Source organism: Homo sapiens, chromosome 17 (genome assembly GCF_000001405.40).
Source record: "Homo sapiens chromosome 17, GRCh38.p14 Primary Assembly".
In the NCBI taxonomy this organism is placed as follows: domain Eukaryota; kingdom Metazoa; phylum Chordata; class Mammalia; order Primates; family Hominidae; genus Homo; species Homo sapiens.
Genome location: NC_000017.11, coordinates 55454479 through 55472968, shown reverse-complemented (window position 1 = coordinate 55472968; position 18490 = coordinate 55454479). Strand labels below are relative to the sequence as shown.

Genomic DNA, 18490 nt, shown 5'->3' with positions numbered 1-18490 from the left:
GGGCTGGAATATTAGCGGGTGTGGAGGCATTGGCTATTTCTTTTGCTATCCTGTCGGCAGAGGCATTTTCTTTTTTCTTTTCTTTTCTTTTTTTTTTTTTTTAAGACAGAGTCTCGCTCTGTCTCCCAGGCTGGAGTACAGTGGCCAATCTCGGCTCACTGCAACCTCCGCCTCCCGGTTTCAAGCAATTCTCCTGCCTCAGCCTCCCGAGTAGCTGGGACAGTTGTCCGCCACCACACCTGGCTAATTTTTGTATTTTTAGTAGATTCGGGGTTTCACCATATTGGCCAGGTTGGTCTCGAACTCCTGGGCTTGTGATCCGCCCGCCTCAGCCTCCCAAAGTGCTGGGATGACAGGCGTGAGCCACCAAGCCCGGCCAGCATAGGCATTTTCTTTTGCAATAAGATCAGTAGGTTTCTGGTGTCCTTTACAATGAATGACTCCTGCCTTGGCCGGCAGCAGAGCAGCCTTAAGGAGGGCCCTTATTAGGAAGGCATTGATACTGGAAGAGCCTTGTGTGATAAGGAAGCCTCTTTCAGCCCAGATGGCAGCATGGTTATGGAGGATGTGGAAAGCATATTTGAAGTCAGTATAAATGTTAATATGCATTCCTTTAGCGAGAGAGAGCACACGAGTTAAAGCAATCAGTTTGGCTTGTTGGGAAGTAGTGGAGGGAGGAAGTGCAGCAGCTTCGATAATGGAGGTGTGGGACATGACAGCATATCCAGCTTTAGCTGGTGAAAATTGATTGGGTTTAGAAGAACTGCCATCGATAAACCAAGTGTGGTCTAGGTTTGGAATTGGAAGAATAGAAATATGAGGAAAGGGGGAAGATGCTATGTGTATTAGTGAAATACAGTCATGTGGTTCAGTTGCGTTGGGTGCTAAGTGAGAAGCTGGGTTGAAATCAGGCCCATGGGTAATAGTTACTGTTGGAGTTTCAACAAAAAGTGAATAGAGCTGGAGGAGTCGAGGGGCAGACAATAAATATGACAGGTGCGATGAGGATATTAATGCTTGAAGGTTGTGAGAACTATAGAGGGTAAGTGGAGCATAGCCTGTGATTTTGAAGGCCTCTAGAAGTATTAAAGAGGCGGCTGCTGCCTCAGGCAGACACAGAGGCCAGCCCAGAACTGTGAGGTCAAGTTCTTTTGACAGAAAGGCAGCAGGTCATGGGCCTGGCTCCTGTGTGAGGACTCCAGCAGCACAGCCTTGTATGTCAGCTGTGGTAAGGAAAAAGGATGGGATGAGTCAAGGAGTCCTAGTGTAGGAACTGTCTCCAGGGCCTTTTCGAAAGAGTGAAAGGAAGAATTGGGAAAAGACTTAGGGTCTATGGGATCATTTAAGTTACCCTTTGTGAGCTTGTAAAGTGGTTTGGTTAGGATAGAAAAGCCTGGTATCTAGACTAGGAAATATCCAACAATGCCTAAGAAGGAAAGGAGTTGCTGTTTGGTGGTGGGGATTGGGGTCTGGGAGATTAACTGAACATGGTCTGCAGGAAGGGCATGTGTATGTTGATGGAGGATTATACTGAGATAGGTAACGCTAGGGGAAGAAATTTGTGCCTTGGAGGGGGATACTCAGTACCCCTTTGAGTAGAGATGTTGAAGAAGCAGGACAGTGTCCTGCTGGGAAGATTGGTAAGAGGGGCTGCAAAGAAGAAGATCATCAAAATATTGAATAAGATGGGAGGCAGACAGGCGAAAAGAAAGCAGATCATGAGAAAGGGCCTGGCCAAAGTAGTGTGGCCTGTCCCTGAAGCCTTGGGGCAGAACAGTCCAGGTGAGTTGTTGGGATTGGTGGGTGTCAGGGTCAGTCCAAGTAAAGGCGAAAAGAGGCTGGGAGGAGAGATGCAAGGGGATAGTAAAGAAGACGTCTTTGAGGTCAATAACAGAATAGTGAGTTGTGGGAGGGGGTATTGAAGATAGGAGGGTGTACGGATTTGGCACTATAGGATGGATGGGAAGGACGATTTGATTAATAAGGTGAAGATCCTGAACCAACCTGTAAGACTTGTCCAGTTTCTGGACGGGTAGGATGGGGGAGTTGTAAGGAGAATTTGTAGGCTTTAAGAGGCCATGTTGTAACAGGCCAGTGGTAACAGGCTTTAACCCTTTTAAAGCCTGCTGTGGGATGGGATATTGGTGTTGAGCAGGGTAAGAGTGATTAGGTTTTAATGGGATGATAAGGGGTGCATGATCGGTCACCAAGGAGGGAATAGAGGTGTCCCATACTTGCGGATTAAGGTAGGGAGACACAAGGGGAGGATGCAAAATAGGCTTTGAACTGGGGAAAAGGGCAGCAATGTGGTGTGGCTGTAGTCCAGGAGTAGTCAGGGAAGCAGATAATTTAGTTAAAATGTCTCAACCTAATAAGGGAGCTGGGCAAGTGGGGATAATTAAAAAGGAGCACATAAAAGATGTTGTTCAAGTTGGCACCAGAGTTGGGGAGTTTTAAGAGGTTTAGAAGCCTGGCCATCAATATCCACAATAGTTGTGGAGGCAAGGGAAACAGGCCCTTGAAAAGAAGGTAATGTGGAGTGGGCAGCCTCTGTATCGATTAAGAAGGGGACAGACTTACCCTCCCACTGTAAGAGTTACCCAAAGCTCGGCATCTATGATGGTCCAGGGGGCTTCCAAGGCGATCAGGCAGTGTCAGTCTTCAGCCACTAAGCAGAGAAGATCTGGGAAGTAGTCAATCAGAGAGCCTTTGGGATCGGTGGGGAAGGAGTCAGTCAGAGAGTCTTGGGCCAGAGTTCCAGGGGCTCTGGGAGTGGCTGCTGGGCAAGATGGACAGTCCGATTTCCAGTGGGGACCTGCACAGATGGGACATGGCTTAGGAGGAATCCTGGGCTGCTGGCATTCCTTGGTCCAGTGGCCAGATTTCCGGCACTTGAAGCAAGATCCTGGGGGAGGAGGTCCTGGAGGAACGCCTGGCCGCTGCAGTTTAGGTGTTTTGAAGTTGTGGTTTTTTTTTGTTTTTTTTTTAGATGGAGTTTCACTCCAGTCGCCCAGGCTGGAGTACAATGGCACAATCTCAGTTCATCACAACCTCTGCCTCCCAGGTTCAAGTGATTCTCCTGCCTCATCCTTCCAAACTGGGACTTGGGACTACAGGCATGTGCCACCATGCCCGGCTAATTTTTGTATTTTTAGTGGAGATGGGGTTTCACCATCTTGGCCAGGCTTGTCTCGAACTCCTGACCTCATGATCCGCCTACCTCGGCCTCCCAAAGTGCTGGGATTACAGGCGTGAGCCACTGCACTTGGCCTTTGAAGTTCTTGTGTGCTGGAGATGTGGCTGGGGTTTTTCTCACAGTGGAGGCAAGTAATTGCAACTCAGAAATACATTGTTGCTTGGCTGTCTCTTCTCTATTATTGTACACCTTAAAGGCAAGGTTAATTAAGTCCTGCTGTGGGGTTCAAAAGCTGGAATCTAATTTTTGGAGCTTTTTCTAATGTCAGGAGTGGACTGGGTGATAAAATTCATATTGAGAATAAGATGGTCTTCTGGCCCCTCTGGGTCTAGGGTGGTAAAGCACCTAAGGGTTGTTGCCAAATGGGTCATGAACTGGGCTGGCTTTTTATATTTGATGAAAAAGAGCCTAAATGCTGATTTGGGAGAGGTTGGATAAAGAAAAAGCAGCATTAACCTTGACTATGCCTTCAGCTCCAGCCACCTCTGTCAGAGGCAATTTTGGGGCAAGTGGGGAAGAGCTAGTCGCGGAACGAAACTGTAAGCCAAACTGGGTGTAAGGAGGGGAGGTGATAGAAGGATTATAGGGTGGGGGAGTGGAGGCTGAGGAAGAATTGGGCCTGGTGAGGAGCAGCCTGGGGAGGAGGGGAGAGGTCAGATTTGTCTGTAGAAAAGGAGGATTCAAAGGACTCAGAACTTGGGGTGGAGACTGAAGGAACAGACAGGAGAGAAAGAAGAAAGATTTGGGACGAGTCTCATTGGGAGCAGAGACTAGGGAGGGACTGACGTGTAAAGAATGCCTGGACGTCAGGCACCTCAGACCATTTGCCCATTTTACGACATACATTATCTAGATCTTGTAGGATGGACAAATCAAAAGTGCCATTCTCTGGCCACTTGGAACTATTGCCCAGTTTGTATTGGGGCCAAGCGGTATTACAGAAGAAAAGAAGACATTTAGGTTTTAGGTCAGGTGTTAGTCGAAGGGGTTTTAGGTTTTTAAGAACACAGGCTAAGGGAGAAGAAGGGGGAATGGAGGGCGGAAGTTTGCCCATAGTAAGGAGGTAAGTTTAAAGAGAAAGGTAGAGACACGGAGAAGGGGGCGGGTGAGCCACCCTAGGCTGTAATGTGGGTGAGCATCCAAAGCAGGCATCCCAGCAATTGACTTGCCACCAAGGGAATGTGGTGAGTGGGTGAATGACCAAGGCAGGCATCCCCACGGTGATCAGACACCAGTGAAATGTGGGTGAATGATCAAGGCAGGCGTCCCCGCTATAATCAGACACCAACGGAAGGCTGTCTTCCCAAATCCGTGACCGACGTCGGAGTTTTTAAGTTGACGGATAAAATGTGTCTCCTTTGTCTCTACTAGAGAGGAAAAAAGAACTGGAATTGGAAGGACAGTGAGATTGAAGGGTAGCAAGAGAGGCTGGAGAAGAGAATGAAGAGACTGCTTACCCGATTTGAAATCAGTGAGATGTTCCTTGGGCTGGTCTGAGGACCTGAGGTCATAGGTGGATCTCCTCACGGAGTGAGGGCGAAGACAGGGGACCGGTCTCCCGAAGGAGTCCTTCTGTCCCAGGTCTTTGGCACCAAATGTTACACGTGTCCGTGTGAAGAGGCTTTGTGTGAGCAATAAAGCTTTTTAATCACCTGGGTGCAGGTGGACTGAGTCCAAAAAAGGAGTCAGCAAAGGGAGATAGGAGTGGGACAGTTTTGTAGGATTTGGGTAGGTAGTGAAAAATTACAGTCAAAGGGGCTTTTTCTCTTGTGGGCAGGGGCGGGGGTCACAAGGTGCTCAGTGGGGAGCTCCCGAGACTCACTGTCCAGGAGAAGGAGTGTCACAAGGTCAATTGATCAGTTAGGGTGGGGCGGGAACAAATCACAACAGTGGAATGTCATCAGTTAAGGCAGGAACTGCCTATTTTCACTTCTTTTGTGGTTCTTCAGTTGCAGGTCACAGGGGATATGATGGCTTAGCTTGGGCTCAGAGGCCTGACATGGCCCAGCAGGAAAGCCAGGTTGCAGCAGAGACAATCGCAAACTCAACCTGCATTTATCAAACTAAAAATATGGTTGGCCGAGTGCGGTGGCTCACGCCTGCAATCCCTGCACTTTGGGAGGCCGTGGCAGGCGGATCACGAGGTCAGGAGATCGAGACCATCCTGGCTAACACAGTGAAACCCCGTCTCTACTAAAAATACAAAAAATTAGCTGGGCATGGTGGCCGGCGCCTGTAGTCCCAGCTACTTGGGAGGCTGAGGCAGGAGAATGGCATGAACCTTGGAGGCGGAGCTGGCAGGGAGCCGAGATCACGCCACTGCACTAGAGCCTGGGTGACAGAGCGAGACTCTGTCTCAAAAAAAAAAAAAATATGGTCAAAAGTGCTTCCTATATAAGGCTCCAACACGCTTTGAGGTTGGTGTCTCTGTTTTCATCCTATAGGTGATGGAACTGACTGGCCCCAATAGAAATTAGACTGACAGCTAATAAAAAGAAGCTTTTGAATCTATAGCTCTTAACAAGCCCCACTGCTCTTTCTGCCTGCTGTGGCTTACTGTCATGGGAAACCATCCTTAGGGACATTTCGTGGCCTCTGGATGTGGGCAGACATTATAACAAACACTGTGTAAGTATATTTGCCTCATCCTTTGTGTTTCTATTTGGAGCAAGTTTTGGTTTTATTGTTGTTGTTGTTGTTTTTTCTTTTTTCGGACTTAATTGGTGAGTGTAACGAATTGCAGTTCCTCTGTATGTTGTCTCAGAACACTCAACTGCATCTCCCTGATGGCCTCATTTCCCCCTTCTGTTACTATGCATTCCACTGCAGCAGAGCTAGTAATTGCAACTAATTAACTTAAGAATAGCCTTGAGATAAAAACAAAAGCACTTACACGGAGCAAGTCAGCAGGTTGGACTTACGCAAAAGAACTTGCTGCTTAAGAGGAAACTGAACTTTGGCTTCCAGCCCTTGGCACCTCCGATACCACCAAGTCCATGAACTGTGGCTTTTCTGTTGAGCAGACCCGGGGTGCTTCCTATACAGCTGAGAGAATCACTTCAATGAAAGCTCCTCCTCCTGCCCACTCTCTCGGCCTGGAAAGGAACAGGAACGTTGTGGATCATCACCACTCAGGGTGCGATGAAGAGGAGCTCCGAAATGAAGAAAATGGAAGATGACAACTCAAGCTACAGGTTCTGTGCTTGAGAACTCCAAGAGGAAAGGAATATGATGTCTGGACTTGTCCTTATTCATCATTTAGCTCAACTTTTCAGAATGTGATTATTTGTAACTTCTTTTGTCCTACATTTATCATGGACCCCTGCTTGGTAACCTGCAAACTCCCACACGTAGCATCTAAATTTCTCCATACGCTGGCCCTAACTTCTCATTCAAACCAGACTCCAGCCGCTCCCAAACTTGAAGCCTCCCTTCTAACCAAATGACTCCAAAATATGTGTGGCACTTTCTTTTTTTTTTTTTTTTTTTTTTTTTGAGACGGAGTCTTGATCTTGTTGCCCAGGCTGGAGTACAGTAGTGCAATCTCAGCTCACTGCAACCTCTGCCTCCCAGGTTCAAGCGATTCTCCTACCTCAGCCTCCCTAGTAGCTGGGATTACAGGTGCCCGCCACCATGCCAGGCTAATTTTGCATTTTTAGTAGAGACAGGGTTTTACCATGTTGGTCAGGCTGGTCTTAAACTCCCAACCTCAGGTGATCCGCCCACCTCGGCCTCCCAAAGTGCTGAGATTACAAGCGTGGTGAGCCACCATGCCCTGCCAGCACTTTCTTATCTTCCTGTCTCCTGGCTCAAAGCACTTCCCTACTGGAATCCCATTATAACAAAATATAGGTGAAAGGGCACCCATCCTGCAGTCCAGTGGATCTAAATCACCTATGCAGAGACTGGCTTCATCAAAACCATCTAAGGACCTTATTAGAGACTCTGAGCTCTACTGCTAGATGGTTCTCCTGCACAGCCAAGTTTGGGAACCCCTAATAGCCCAAACTCACTTGGCCAGTGCAGAACTCTCCTCTATACCATTCTAAGACACAGAAACCAGTCTCTGCTTGAACATTCACTGTGGTCTGGAAATCACCACCTGATGAAAGAACTTAATTCCATTTTTAAACAAAGCTAATTGTCAAAAATTTATGCCATGTGTTGAGGCAATGTCATCTTCTCTGCATATCCCACTATTTGACCTAATTCTGTCATATGCATCTACCCAACATAAGCACAATAACTCCTCCAACAGCAATTGTTCAAATATCTAAAGATAGACATAATATCCCATACACACCACACCCCAACTCCTAAGTCTTCAAATCTTCTGGCTAAACCACTCTAATTCCTCCAAATGTAAATGATAATTGCTCATCATGATCATAGTCCTTGGCATAATCCATGAAATAGATACTATTATTATTTCCATTACATAGACAAGTAAACTGAGGCTGTGAGAAGTTAAATAACTTCCCCAAGGTGACATAGTAAGTGTCAGAACTTGGGTCTGAATAAGCCTGTCTGACTCCAAAATGATATTATTACACTTTACTGTGCTGTCCCTAATTTGTTCATTTTGTTTGAACAGTCTCCAATTTTAATATTGCTCATTCAATGTCGTACTCAGAATGGAGCAGATTGTTTATGAACTTGTCTGCCCAACACAGAGCACAGAGCTCTCTTGCTGCCCACTGTACACTTCTATTCATGTAGTCCGAGATGATCTTGGTATTTCCCGGCAGCTCCATCACACAGTCGACTGATATCAATTAAAATGCTTCAATTTATTTTCAGGTGAACTGCTATAAAGTCAGGTATTATTTCCATTTTATCAATTGCCTATGGTTTGCAAATCCAAGAACTATGGACTAAAGATACTGGAATGGATACAATGTTAAGACAAGGCACACCTGCTCTCAAAGGAGCGAATGAAAGAAAAGGGAAGGAAAAGATTGAGTGGAAAAGATTAGGGAACTGGTTCCCATCTTTATCAATAGCATTTGTGTAACTGTCAGGTGGAGAGAGCTTAGGGAGGCCCAATCCTTTTTCAACTCTGTGATAATTGTTACTTTGTGACTATGTAATCCCTATAACTAGAGCCTGAACAGAAGAACAGATCAGATGCTTAAAGCTACCATTCTATGTTTCTTATCCTGTGCCTTTTAAACCTGAGTTGAAGACTTTCCTTCTGTGTGTACTGAGTTATACCTTATGTATTTATCTTGTGAGCCTTGGCCCATCTTTCCAAACTCTAGAATTTTTTTTTTTTAATTTTGTTTTTTAACCTGATTCTGTCATACAATGTCTTGGTCAACACTACCAGATCTGAACATCCTACAAGTGGAATTAACATGCCCTCTATGTTCCAGATGAAAGCACTGAATGGGAACTGACCCTAGACAAGTAGCACTGCAATAGATACAAGCTCAATTCAGGAAAGGCCTAGGTCGAGCTTGTTCATTAACTGTCCATCACATGGCACAGGGCTCCACGTGGAATCAATACCATATTGAGCCTTGTATAAATCAATCAATTAATTAATTAAGATCCTTCTCCAGTTTCAAGCCATAGAATAGTAGAATATCCTAGGTGGACATGACCTGAAAAGTCATTTAACATCCTCTTTTTTGTTTTGTTTTGTTTCATTTTTTTGAGACAGGGCCTTGCTTTGTCACCCAGGCTGGAGTGCAGTGGCGTGATCTCAGATCACTGCAACCTCTGCCTCCTGGGTTCAGGCAATTCTCATGCCTCAGCCTCTCGAGTAGCTAGGATACAGGAACATGCCTCCACACCAGGCTAATTTTTGTATTTTTAGTAGAGTCTGGGTTTTGCCATGTTGATCAGGCTAGTCTTGAACTCCTGGCCTCAAGTGATCCCCCTGTCTTAGCCTCCCAAAGTGCTGAGATTACAGGTGCCCGGCCTTCAACATCCTCTTTTCTTATAGTCAGAAAATGAAACCCCAAAAGGAGCAACTAGTGACCTCAAGTACCTACTTTGGGGAGAAAAAAAAACACAGATTACCCAGGCTTCCTGTTTCTGAATGCAGAGCACTTTCCACCATACCAACCCACGGACTTACTAATCAACATTCTCCTATTATATTTGTCTACCCTTTAACTGTACTACAGTAGTCCCCTCTTATTCTCAGTACAGTATAATAAGAGACCACATTTACGTAACTTTCATTACAGAATATTGTTATATTATTATTATTTAGAAACAGGGTCTCGCTCTTGTCACCCAGGCAGGAATGCAGTGGCAAAGTCATAACTCTGCTGCCTCAAACTCCTGGGGTCCAGCAATCCTCTTGCCTCAGCCAAGTAACTGAGTTACAGGCTTGTGCCACCATGGCTGACAATTTTTTTTATTTCTTTTTTTAGGGATGGGTTCTCACTATGTTGCCCAGGCTGGCTTTGAATTCCTAGGCTCAAGCAATCTTCCCACCTCAGCCTCCCAAAGTGCTGGGATTACAGGTGTGAGCCACCGTGTCCGGCCTTATTATTAGTTATTGTTATTAGTCTCTTACTGTGCCTAATTTATAAATTAAGCTTTATCATAGACATTATGTATAGGAAAAATAATAGTATATATTGAGTTCAGAACTACATAAAGTTTAAGGTATCCACTGGAAGTCTTAGAACATACCCCTGAGGATAAGGGGTGGGGGGCAGTTATGTATTATTACATAGCCTGGAGGATCATGTGGAACTCCAATTAGAAAAGAAAAAATACCTTTTCCTTCTGACTCAGAGGCCAAATGTTCTTGGGTAAATGAAGATAAATCCCCAGCTTAGATATCAAATTTATCATCATGTGGGAAAGGCCTCTTTAACAGAGAGTTTTCCAGCTTTCTGGGGGTTGGGAGGAGTCTTCTATCATTCCTCAGACACAGTAATTGGCCTTCAAAGGACCTCTCCACATCTGAGGCTCATAACCCCAGAGGCCTGAGTATTCTGTCTCTGGGCCTGACCTATTTTAGATTGTGCATTCTAACCCACAGTAAATATTAAAGTGTTATGAATTGTTGAGCACCTAACAAGTGCTAGTCCCTTAAAAAACTAAAGTATGGCTTTAGTTCTTTATTTCAAATCCTCATGACAACGCTGCATGCCAGATTTTTAAAAATTTGTATGTATTTATTTATTTTTATTTATTTATTTAGAGACATAATCTCACTCTGTTGCCCAGGCTGGAGTGCAGTGGTTCTGTCATAGCTCACTGCAACTTCAAATTCCTAGGCTCAAATGATCCTCCCACTTCAGCCTCCTGAGTTACTAAGACTACAGGCACATGCCACCTGGCTAATTTTTTAAATTTTTGTAGGGATGAGGTCTTGCTACGTTGCTAAGGCTGGTCTTGAATTCCTGGCCTCAAATGATCCTCCTGCCTTGGCCTCCCAAAGTGCTGAGATTACAGGCATAAGCCACCATGCCCTGCACATGGCAGCTTTTATTAGCCCATTTTTCAGATGAGGAAATGAACAGCCAGAGGTTAATTAACTTAATGCTTATATTAACTTTATATACTTCTTATTAAGTATTAATAAGTATTAATTAACTTAATACTTATATTAACTTCATACTTTTAAGTATTAAGTGGGGAAGTCAATATTCAAACCCAAGTCTATCCATCTAAAACCAAGATTTAATCCAAGGCCATACACTTTCCACAACATCAAACTGCTTGCCCTAAAATCTGTCCAAAATTATTTCAAGCTAGACCTTTAACTATCTTCTTAACAAGTTACCCAGAAAAATATGAATTTGCCTATCACCATATCTACAATCTTTCCCATTTGTTACTCCAGATCAGTGGCTCAGTGGATCCCTAATGTAACCTACATTTGCAGCCTTCTTCCGTAAGAATTCTCTGCCCTGAATTGTTCTATTGACTAACCACATTACAGAATCAAAAACAGTATGATTTCAAGGAGACATTTAACTCATTCAATACCACCACTGGTGGGAGTCTGTACTTTCTGGTTTTTGGTTTTTGTTTTTGCTTTTTTGCCTCATTAAAGAAATGAAGATCATAAAAATGAATTATGTTTTTCTGGAAATTCATAGAAATGTGTTTGCTTTCTGTGTTTAAATATACAGTATAATTTATACATAAATAATTTACTTATGTTTTTTCTTTGTTTTTGTATTTGTTTTTGTTTTTTTGAGACAGGGTTTCACTCTGTTGTCCAGGCTGAAGTGCAGTGGCATGATCACAGCTCACTACAGCCTGGCACTCCTGGACTCAAGCAACTCTCCTGCTTCTCTATAATCAGTCCTCTTCCCCACCACAGTCCCTGGCAATCACTGATCTGATTTCTGTCCCTATAGTTTCACCTTTTCCAGAATGTCCTGTAAATGGGATTGTACAGTACATAGCCTGTTGAGTATGGCTTTTCCATTTAGTATTATGTGTTGAGATTTATCCATGTTGTTGCATGGATAATCATTTCTTTTTAGCAAGGATATTTTGAGAGTGTATAAGCAAGAGAAAAGACAGAAGGAAGAAAAATAGGACAATGCTTTGGGGGAGTAAGGTGATGTTGAGTCAAGAATCAGGTGTTTGGAAAATTGAACGCACTCAAAATATGGTGCAAATAATTATTGTAGATTTTTTCCCAAAGTCTAATGTACACAAATCTCTCCCTTCTACCTCTCCTGGGCTTTAGGTTAGAGTTAATTATACTTCTCAGTTCCCAATATCTTATTACCTTCAGTCTGTGCAAGGCCACACTCCTGCTTAATTTTATTATGTTTCTTAAGTTATTCTCTACACAAGTACAAATCTCCTTCTCCCAGATTTTCTCTTTAGCTCACTTGTTCACTATATGTGCTTAGGTACACATGGATTCTTAAATCCTACATAGTGCTAATTCATGTATTTATGGTTTTTTTTGTTTTTGTTTTTTTGAGACAGGGTCTCACTCTGTCACCCAGGCTGCAGTGCAGTGGCACAGTCTCGGCTCACTGGAAGCTCCGCCTCCTGGGTTCACGCCATTCTCCTGCCTCAGCCTCCCGAGTAGCTGGGACTACAGGCACCCACCACCATGCCCAGCTAATTTTTTTGTATTTTTTAGTAGAGATGGGTTTCACCGTTTTAGCCAGGATGGTCTCGATCTCCTGACCTCGTGATCTGCCCGCCTCGGCCTCCCAAAGTGCTGGGATTACAGGCGTGAGCCACTGCTCCCGGCCTATTTATATGTTTTAAATTTACGTAAATGGTATTTTATGCCATTACATAAATGGCATCAAGCTTGTGCTGTTTTGTTTTCACTTAGCATTATAGCTTTTTTGTTGTTGTTGTTCTTTTTTTTTGTTTTGTTTTTTGTTTTTTGTTTCCAGACAGAGTCTCACTCTTGTCGCCCAGGCTGGAATGCAGTGGCACAATCTAGGGTCACTGCATCCTCTGCTGCCCAGATTCAAGCGATTCTCCTGCCTCAGCCTCCCAAGTAGCTGGGATTACAGGCACCTGCCACCGCACCTGGCTAATTTTTGTAGTTTTAGTAGAGACAGGGTTTCACCATCTTGGCCAGGCTGGTCTTGAACTCCTGACCTTGTGATCCACCTGCCTCGGCCTCCCAAAGTGCTGGGGTTACAGGCGTGAGCCACCATGCCTGGCCAGCATTATGTTTTTAAGATCTATGGATGATGAGTTAACAACATATAGGACTTTGAAAACTGCAAAGACCTCTACAAATGTTACTACTACTAGTAGTGATAATAATACATAGTAACAATTTGTTCAATAAATATTTTTATGTTATTTATTTATTTGAGAAACAGGGTCTCACTCTGTTGCCCAGGCTGAGTGCAGTGGTGCTATCATAGCTTACTACAGCCACCAACCCCTAGGCACAATCCCCCTGCCTTAGCCTCCAAAGTCGCTGGGATTATAGGCACATGCCACCATGCCTAGCTTTTTATTTTATTTTTTGTAGAGACAGGGTCTTGCCATACTGCCAAAGCTGGTCTCGAATTTCTGGGCTCAAGCGCGCCTCCTGCCTTGGCCTCCCAAAGTGCTCCGATTACAGTTGTGACCATGCCCAGCCAAGAAATCATTTTTAGCATCTATTCTAGGCATGTTGCTAAACCTTTGGGGTAGAGAAATCATTTTAAAGGACATAGTTCCTTATGAAGGAAGACAGTAAACAAATAATTGCATAATCAACTATATAAATATGATAGCAGTAAGTCTAAAATTGTAAAGAACTGAACAGTATGAGGATTTCTAACAGTAGACCTACCCTCACCTTGAGATTCAGGGACAACTTCCCTGAGGCAAGGATAGTTATGCCAACTTTTGTCCCTTAAATTCAAATTCATAAAAGACCCATATATGCCACACATATTGGACATATACCAAATAGGTTTTGCCATATTTTCAGAAGGATAAATTTGAACAACAACAAAAAAAATCTAGGACCTAGCTGCAGAAAATTTGATCCAATGACTCTCTGGAGAGATGACTCAAGCCCAGGTCACCTAGAGATGACTTAGAACAACACAAAACATTCAAAACCGAATTAATCAATGGTGTGAGTCAACTTCTTATTCTGAAATGGGAATCCCCCTCTCAGGGCGTGTGATGGGGGTGGGGCTCGCATCTTCAGTGCCCCGCTGCTCAAACCTCTAGGGAAGCATACACACGGACAGGCTGTGGGGCTCCGACCCCATGGCAGTGTCTAGGGATGAATGTTAGTAGTGTATAGGGGTGAATGTTGACAGCTCCTGAGGCCCCAGTGGGCGTGTGTTACAGGGTGCTCTCAGTTTGCCATCTACAGACCACTTGAATTAACCAGCTCAATTAGACCCTCTTCCTTATCACAAGGACAGAGGGATTTCTGTACCCCGGGGTTTCTTGCCTTGGTGTACTGGAAGAAGCAAATCACACGTGGGCTTGGAGAATGAGTGTAAAATTTTATTGCGTGGAGGTAGCTCTCAGCGGACGGAGGATCCACAAGGGAGGTAGTCTTCCCCTGCAGTTGGGCCTCTCAGCAGCCCGGCTGTCCTCCCACTGCCCTGGCCAGACTGCCCTGGCCAGACTCCACTGCCTGCGGGCATGCTCTTCGGCCGCAGAGGAGGCATGCTCTTCTGCGAGCTCTTCTCAACGACCAGCTGCTTGTGTCTTCTTCAGCCGACGTGCTCCTTTTGATGTGTGGCTGCCCGCTAGGATGTGTGTGTGGTACGGGGCGGGGGGTGGGGGTGGAGAACGGTTATTATAGGTACAGGATGGGGCGTGGCAGGCCAGGGTGGTGTCGGGAAATGCAACAGTTGGGCAGGAAATGTCTGTCCTCACCTAGGTCCGTGGGGTGGATCCCTAACAAGGGACCACGCCCTCCTCTACCCTGCACTTCCCTTCCCCGGTTTCCTATTATTTAAAGAGACCAGGGTCTTCCCTTCCCAGCACTCCCATATTAATTCCACGCAAGTGGAAGTCACCAACAGCTACACCAGCATTGTCAGAAGGAATATTAATTAAACTGCTGTCGCTGCAGATTGTGACTGGGGGCCTGTTTGCTTGGATGTAGGAACAATTGGAGAAAGTGAGTAATAGAACATCCAGATAGCGGATCATGTCATTATTCTTGGTTTTACTGCTGAACTACACCAAATAATTGGTTCTAAAGAGAGAACAATAATCCAGGTTCACAATACAGAATTTATACCCCCAAACTAAGTAGTATATATTGCATTCATCTCCCTTTAATGTAAAGTAGGAAGGAGAAACAATAGAGAAAAGACACACTCTAAAAGCGGAGAGCACATACTCGCATGAAAATGTTCAGCTAGCAGGCAAATCCCAATTCTGTACCTCCACTAATCTCAAGAACAGGCATCATCCTTTGGATTAATGACATAGTCAAGTATTTTTCCCTTTAGTGAGATAGCCAGATAAAGATCTCTACAGATGTCAACATTTTTTTATTTTTTTAATTAACAAAAGGCCGGCGCGGTAGCTCAAGCCTTTAATCCCAGCACTTTGGGAGGCTGAGGTGGGGGGATTGCCTGAGGCCAGGAGTTCGAGACCAGCCTGGCCAATATAGTGAATCCCGTCTCTACTAAAAATACAAAAATTAGCTGGGCATGGTTGTGGGCGCCTGTAATCCCAGCTACTCGGGAGGCTGAAGCAGGAGAATGGCTTGAACCCGGGAGGCGGAGGTTGCAGTGAGCCAAGATCGCACCATTGCACTCCAGTCTGGACAACGAGAGCAAAATTCCGTCTCAAAAACAAAAAATAAAAATAAAAAAAATTTTTTTAAAGATCTCGAGAGCTGTCAATTTTATTTTATTCTATTCTTTTTTTTTTTTTTTTTTTGAGACGGAGTTTCACTCTTGTCACCCAAGCTGGAGTGCAATAGTGAGATCTCAGCTTACTGCAACCTCTGCCTCCTGGGTTCAAGCAATTATCCTGCCTCAGCCTCCTGAGTAGCTAGGACTACGGGTGCACACCACCATGCCCAGCTAATTTTTTTTGTATTTTTAGTAGGGATGGGGTTTCACCATATTGGCCAGGATGGTCTTGGTCTCCTGACCTCGTGATCCGCCCGTCTCAGCCTCCCGAAGTGCTGGGATCACAGGCATGAGCCACCACAACTGGCCCATTTATATATTTTCTAATAAGGCAGATTTATTTGAAAACTGCCTGGTTTATCCTTTTATCCTTTCCCAATCTACTCTTATGACCATGAATTAATCTCACAAAAATCTGTGTCCTCATGTTTGAGGAAAAACATTACATTATAACTGCTTACCCATTCGCAATCCTCTCACACAGGAAATCTGAAATCACTAACTGCTATGTAGGATTTATCAAAATGCTGGATGTTTAATGGTGCCTAAAAGACTAAAGGGCATGGCCTATTTTGAATGTACTTTGAAAGCCTCTCAATTTGCCTTTTTAATGTGTTGACATGAGTGGAGATTTAACACCAAGGGTGACCTGAAAGTAATGAAACTTATAATTAAGTCCCAAGAGAAAACCCACATAATTATTTTTTAGTATTCACCTTCCTGTTTGAATATGATTCACATTGAAAAATATTTATTGAACCTTCCTACTATATTCAAGAGAAACACAAACAAACACAGACTTAAACAGCCAAGTTCTTAATCTTGGGCCCTTAAACAGACTGTTTAACAATCACATTGTCCTTGAATGCCCATATCTCTAAATTAATTTGCGGAAAATTAGGGCTCAGGGCTTTCTTCAGATTCTCAAAGGCATCTGTGGCCTTAAGAAATTTAGGGATCACTGTCCTGGTTGTGCAATAAGTCATATGGAAGAATTGATGGATAGGTTTGTCTACTGTGGGAAAAAAGATGGAATGATAAATTGTTAAAGGTGAATTGGTACTTAAAAATCATCTAATCTGAATCAGACTTCTGTGCTTTACAGATGAGAAAACTGAGGCACAGCAGGGAAAGGTGACTTGCCCCTAGTACAGGAGACAATTAAGAATGGGCCGTAGCCCTCATTCTGGAACTATGGATGTGACTTGTATAGGGAAAATTAACTGCCATAAAACAATTACAGGAGAAGAAGCAAAAGAGTCCCTTTGCTTGGGAGGAACAAGAAAAGACCTGATGAGGGATATGGACTTTGAAACAGTTTCAAATGATCCTTTTTTTTTTTTTTTTTTTTTTTTTTTTTGAGACAGTTTTGCACTTGTTGCCCAGGCTGGAGTGCAATGGTGCGGTCTTGGCTCACTGCAACCTCCGCCTCCTGGGGTCAAGCTTTTCTCCCACCTCAGCCTCCCAGGTAGCTGGGATTACAGGTGCGTCCTACCACACTCAGCTAATTTTTGTATTTTTAGTAGAAACAGGGTTTCACCGTGTTGGCCAGGCTGGTCTCAAACTCTTGACCTCAAATGATCCATGTGCCTCGGCCTCCCAAAGTGCTGGGATTACAGGTGTGAGCCACCGCACCCAGCATGTTTTTTTTGTTTTTGTTTGTTTGTTTGTTTGTTTTTGTTTTTGAAACAGCTCTCCTTCTGTCACCCAGGCTGGAGTGCAGTGGCATGATCACAGCTCACTGCAGCCCGAACCTCCCGAATTCAAGCAATCCTCCCACTTCAGCCTTCCTGGAGTTGCTGAAACCACAGGCATGCTCCACCATGACTGGCTAATTTTTTTGATTTTTCGTAGAGACGAGGTCTCACTATGTTGCCCAAGCAGGTCCCAAACTCCTGGGCTCAACTGATCCTCCCACCTTGGCCTCCCAAGTTGCTGAGATTATAGGCATGAGCCACTGCACCCAGTCTCAAATGATATTAATAGATTTTAAGCGATTACGGAAGGCTAAGGTGACAGTGGATGGAATATGAGTGTCATCTAGGGAGAAAAAGCACAAAGCTAAGAATGTATGAATCCTGTTTGAACAACAGTGTGGGGAGGGGGGCAGCGTGGGGGTGGTGGGAGAGGAATAGAAGGAGATGAAATGAGGCCAGAGAGATAGGTGGCAATCCTGTTGCGAAAGGCATCGGAGACCAGATGAGGATTTACACTCTATACACAACACGGGTTAAAGAATCCACAAGCTACCATGTATTCCCTATCATATTTCCAAAGCCTTCTTTAAATGCTTGCACTTACTCAGCATTGGCAAACACTCATAAACACTGCTGGTGGGCTGTAAATCAGTACAACCTCTCCAGAGGGAAATTTGGAAATCAGTATCAAAATGCTTTGAAAAGGGCATAGCTTTTGACTGAGCAATGTCTCTTCCAGGAATTTATTCTAAGTAAACAATAATGAATGTGCACAGATAGTTCTCTCTAAGACTATCCATTGCAGTGTTTGTTCTAGTAATGAATAATGCAAAATTGCCTAATGCCCACACATAGGGAATACATTAAATTATGGTATCTCTTCACGATGAAAAAAAATATGGTCATTAAATCTCATGTTGTAGAACAGTAGTCACTGGCATGGGAAAATATTTATGATGCATCGTGAAGATTTTAAATTTGTTTTGATTATTTTACCTTCTGTATTATGTTTTCCTCAAATAAGAAGCCAGAGGTTTTAAACTTGCCTGTGCAAGTTTATCTTGCTTTATTTCACTAAAAATGTATTGTAAGCATAGAAAGCCCATAACACACTTTTTTAAAGCAAGTTTCACAGCAGTACGTATACTATCATCATTAATGTAAAAGGCGTGTAAATACATGTATATAGACTCAAAGGATACTCATTAAAATGTTAATGAGTGGTTATCCCCAGTTGTTAAATTAACATTAAAAATTTTTACTTTCTGTTGATCTATGTTTTCTAGGTCTTAAAAAATAAC

The 18490-nt window shown here is 43.9% G+C and overlaps 1 protein-coding gene across 1 annotated transcript in view, besides 1 other annotated feature; it reads left to right on the top strand.

Annotated features, from left to right (window-relative positions):
• The window catches only part of SMIM36 (small integral membrane protein 36), an 82292-nt gene that overhangs the window by 59179 nt on the left and 4623 nt on the right, over nucleotides 1–18490 (top strand). Inside the window, exon 4 of the mRNA NM_001395421.2 lies at nucleotides 5641–5824. The gene's annotated coding sequence lies outside the window, so the exon portion shown is untranslated. The remainder of the gene's footprint in view (nucleotides 1–5640; nucleotides 5825–18490) is intronic.
• Nucleotides 13802–13911: an enhancer, noted in NCBI's record as "active region_12415". NCBI's record gives its function as "activates an Ori minimal core promoter by ATAC-STARR-seq in GM12878 lymphoblastoid cells {active_cell/tissue: GM12878}" and the evidence as "EXISTENCE:reporter gene assay evidence [ECO:0000049][PMID:35858748]".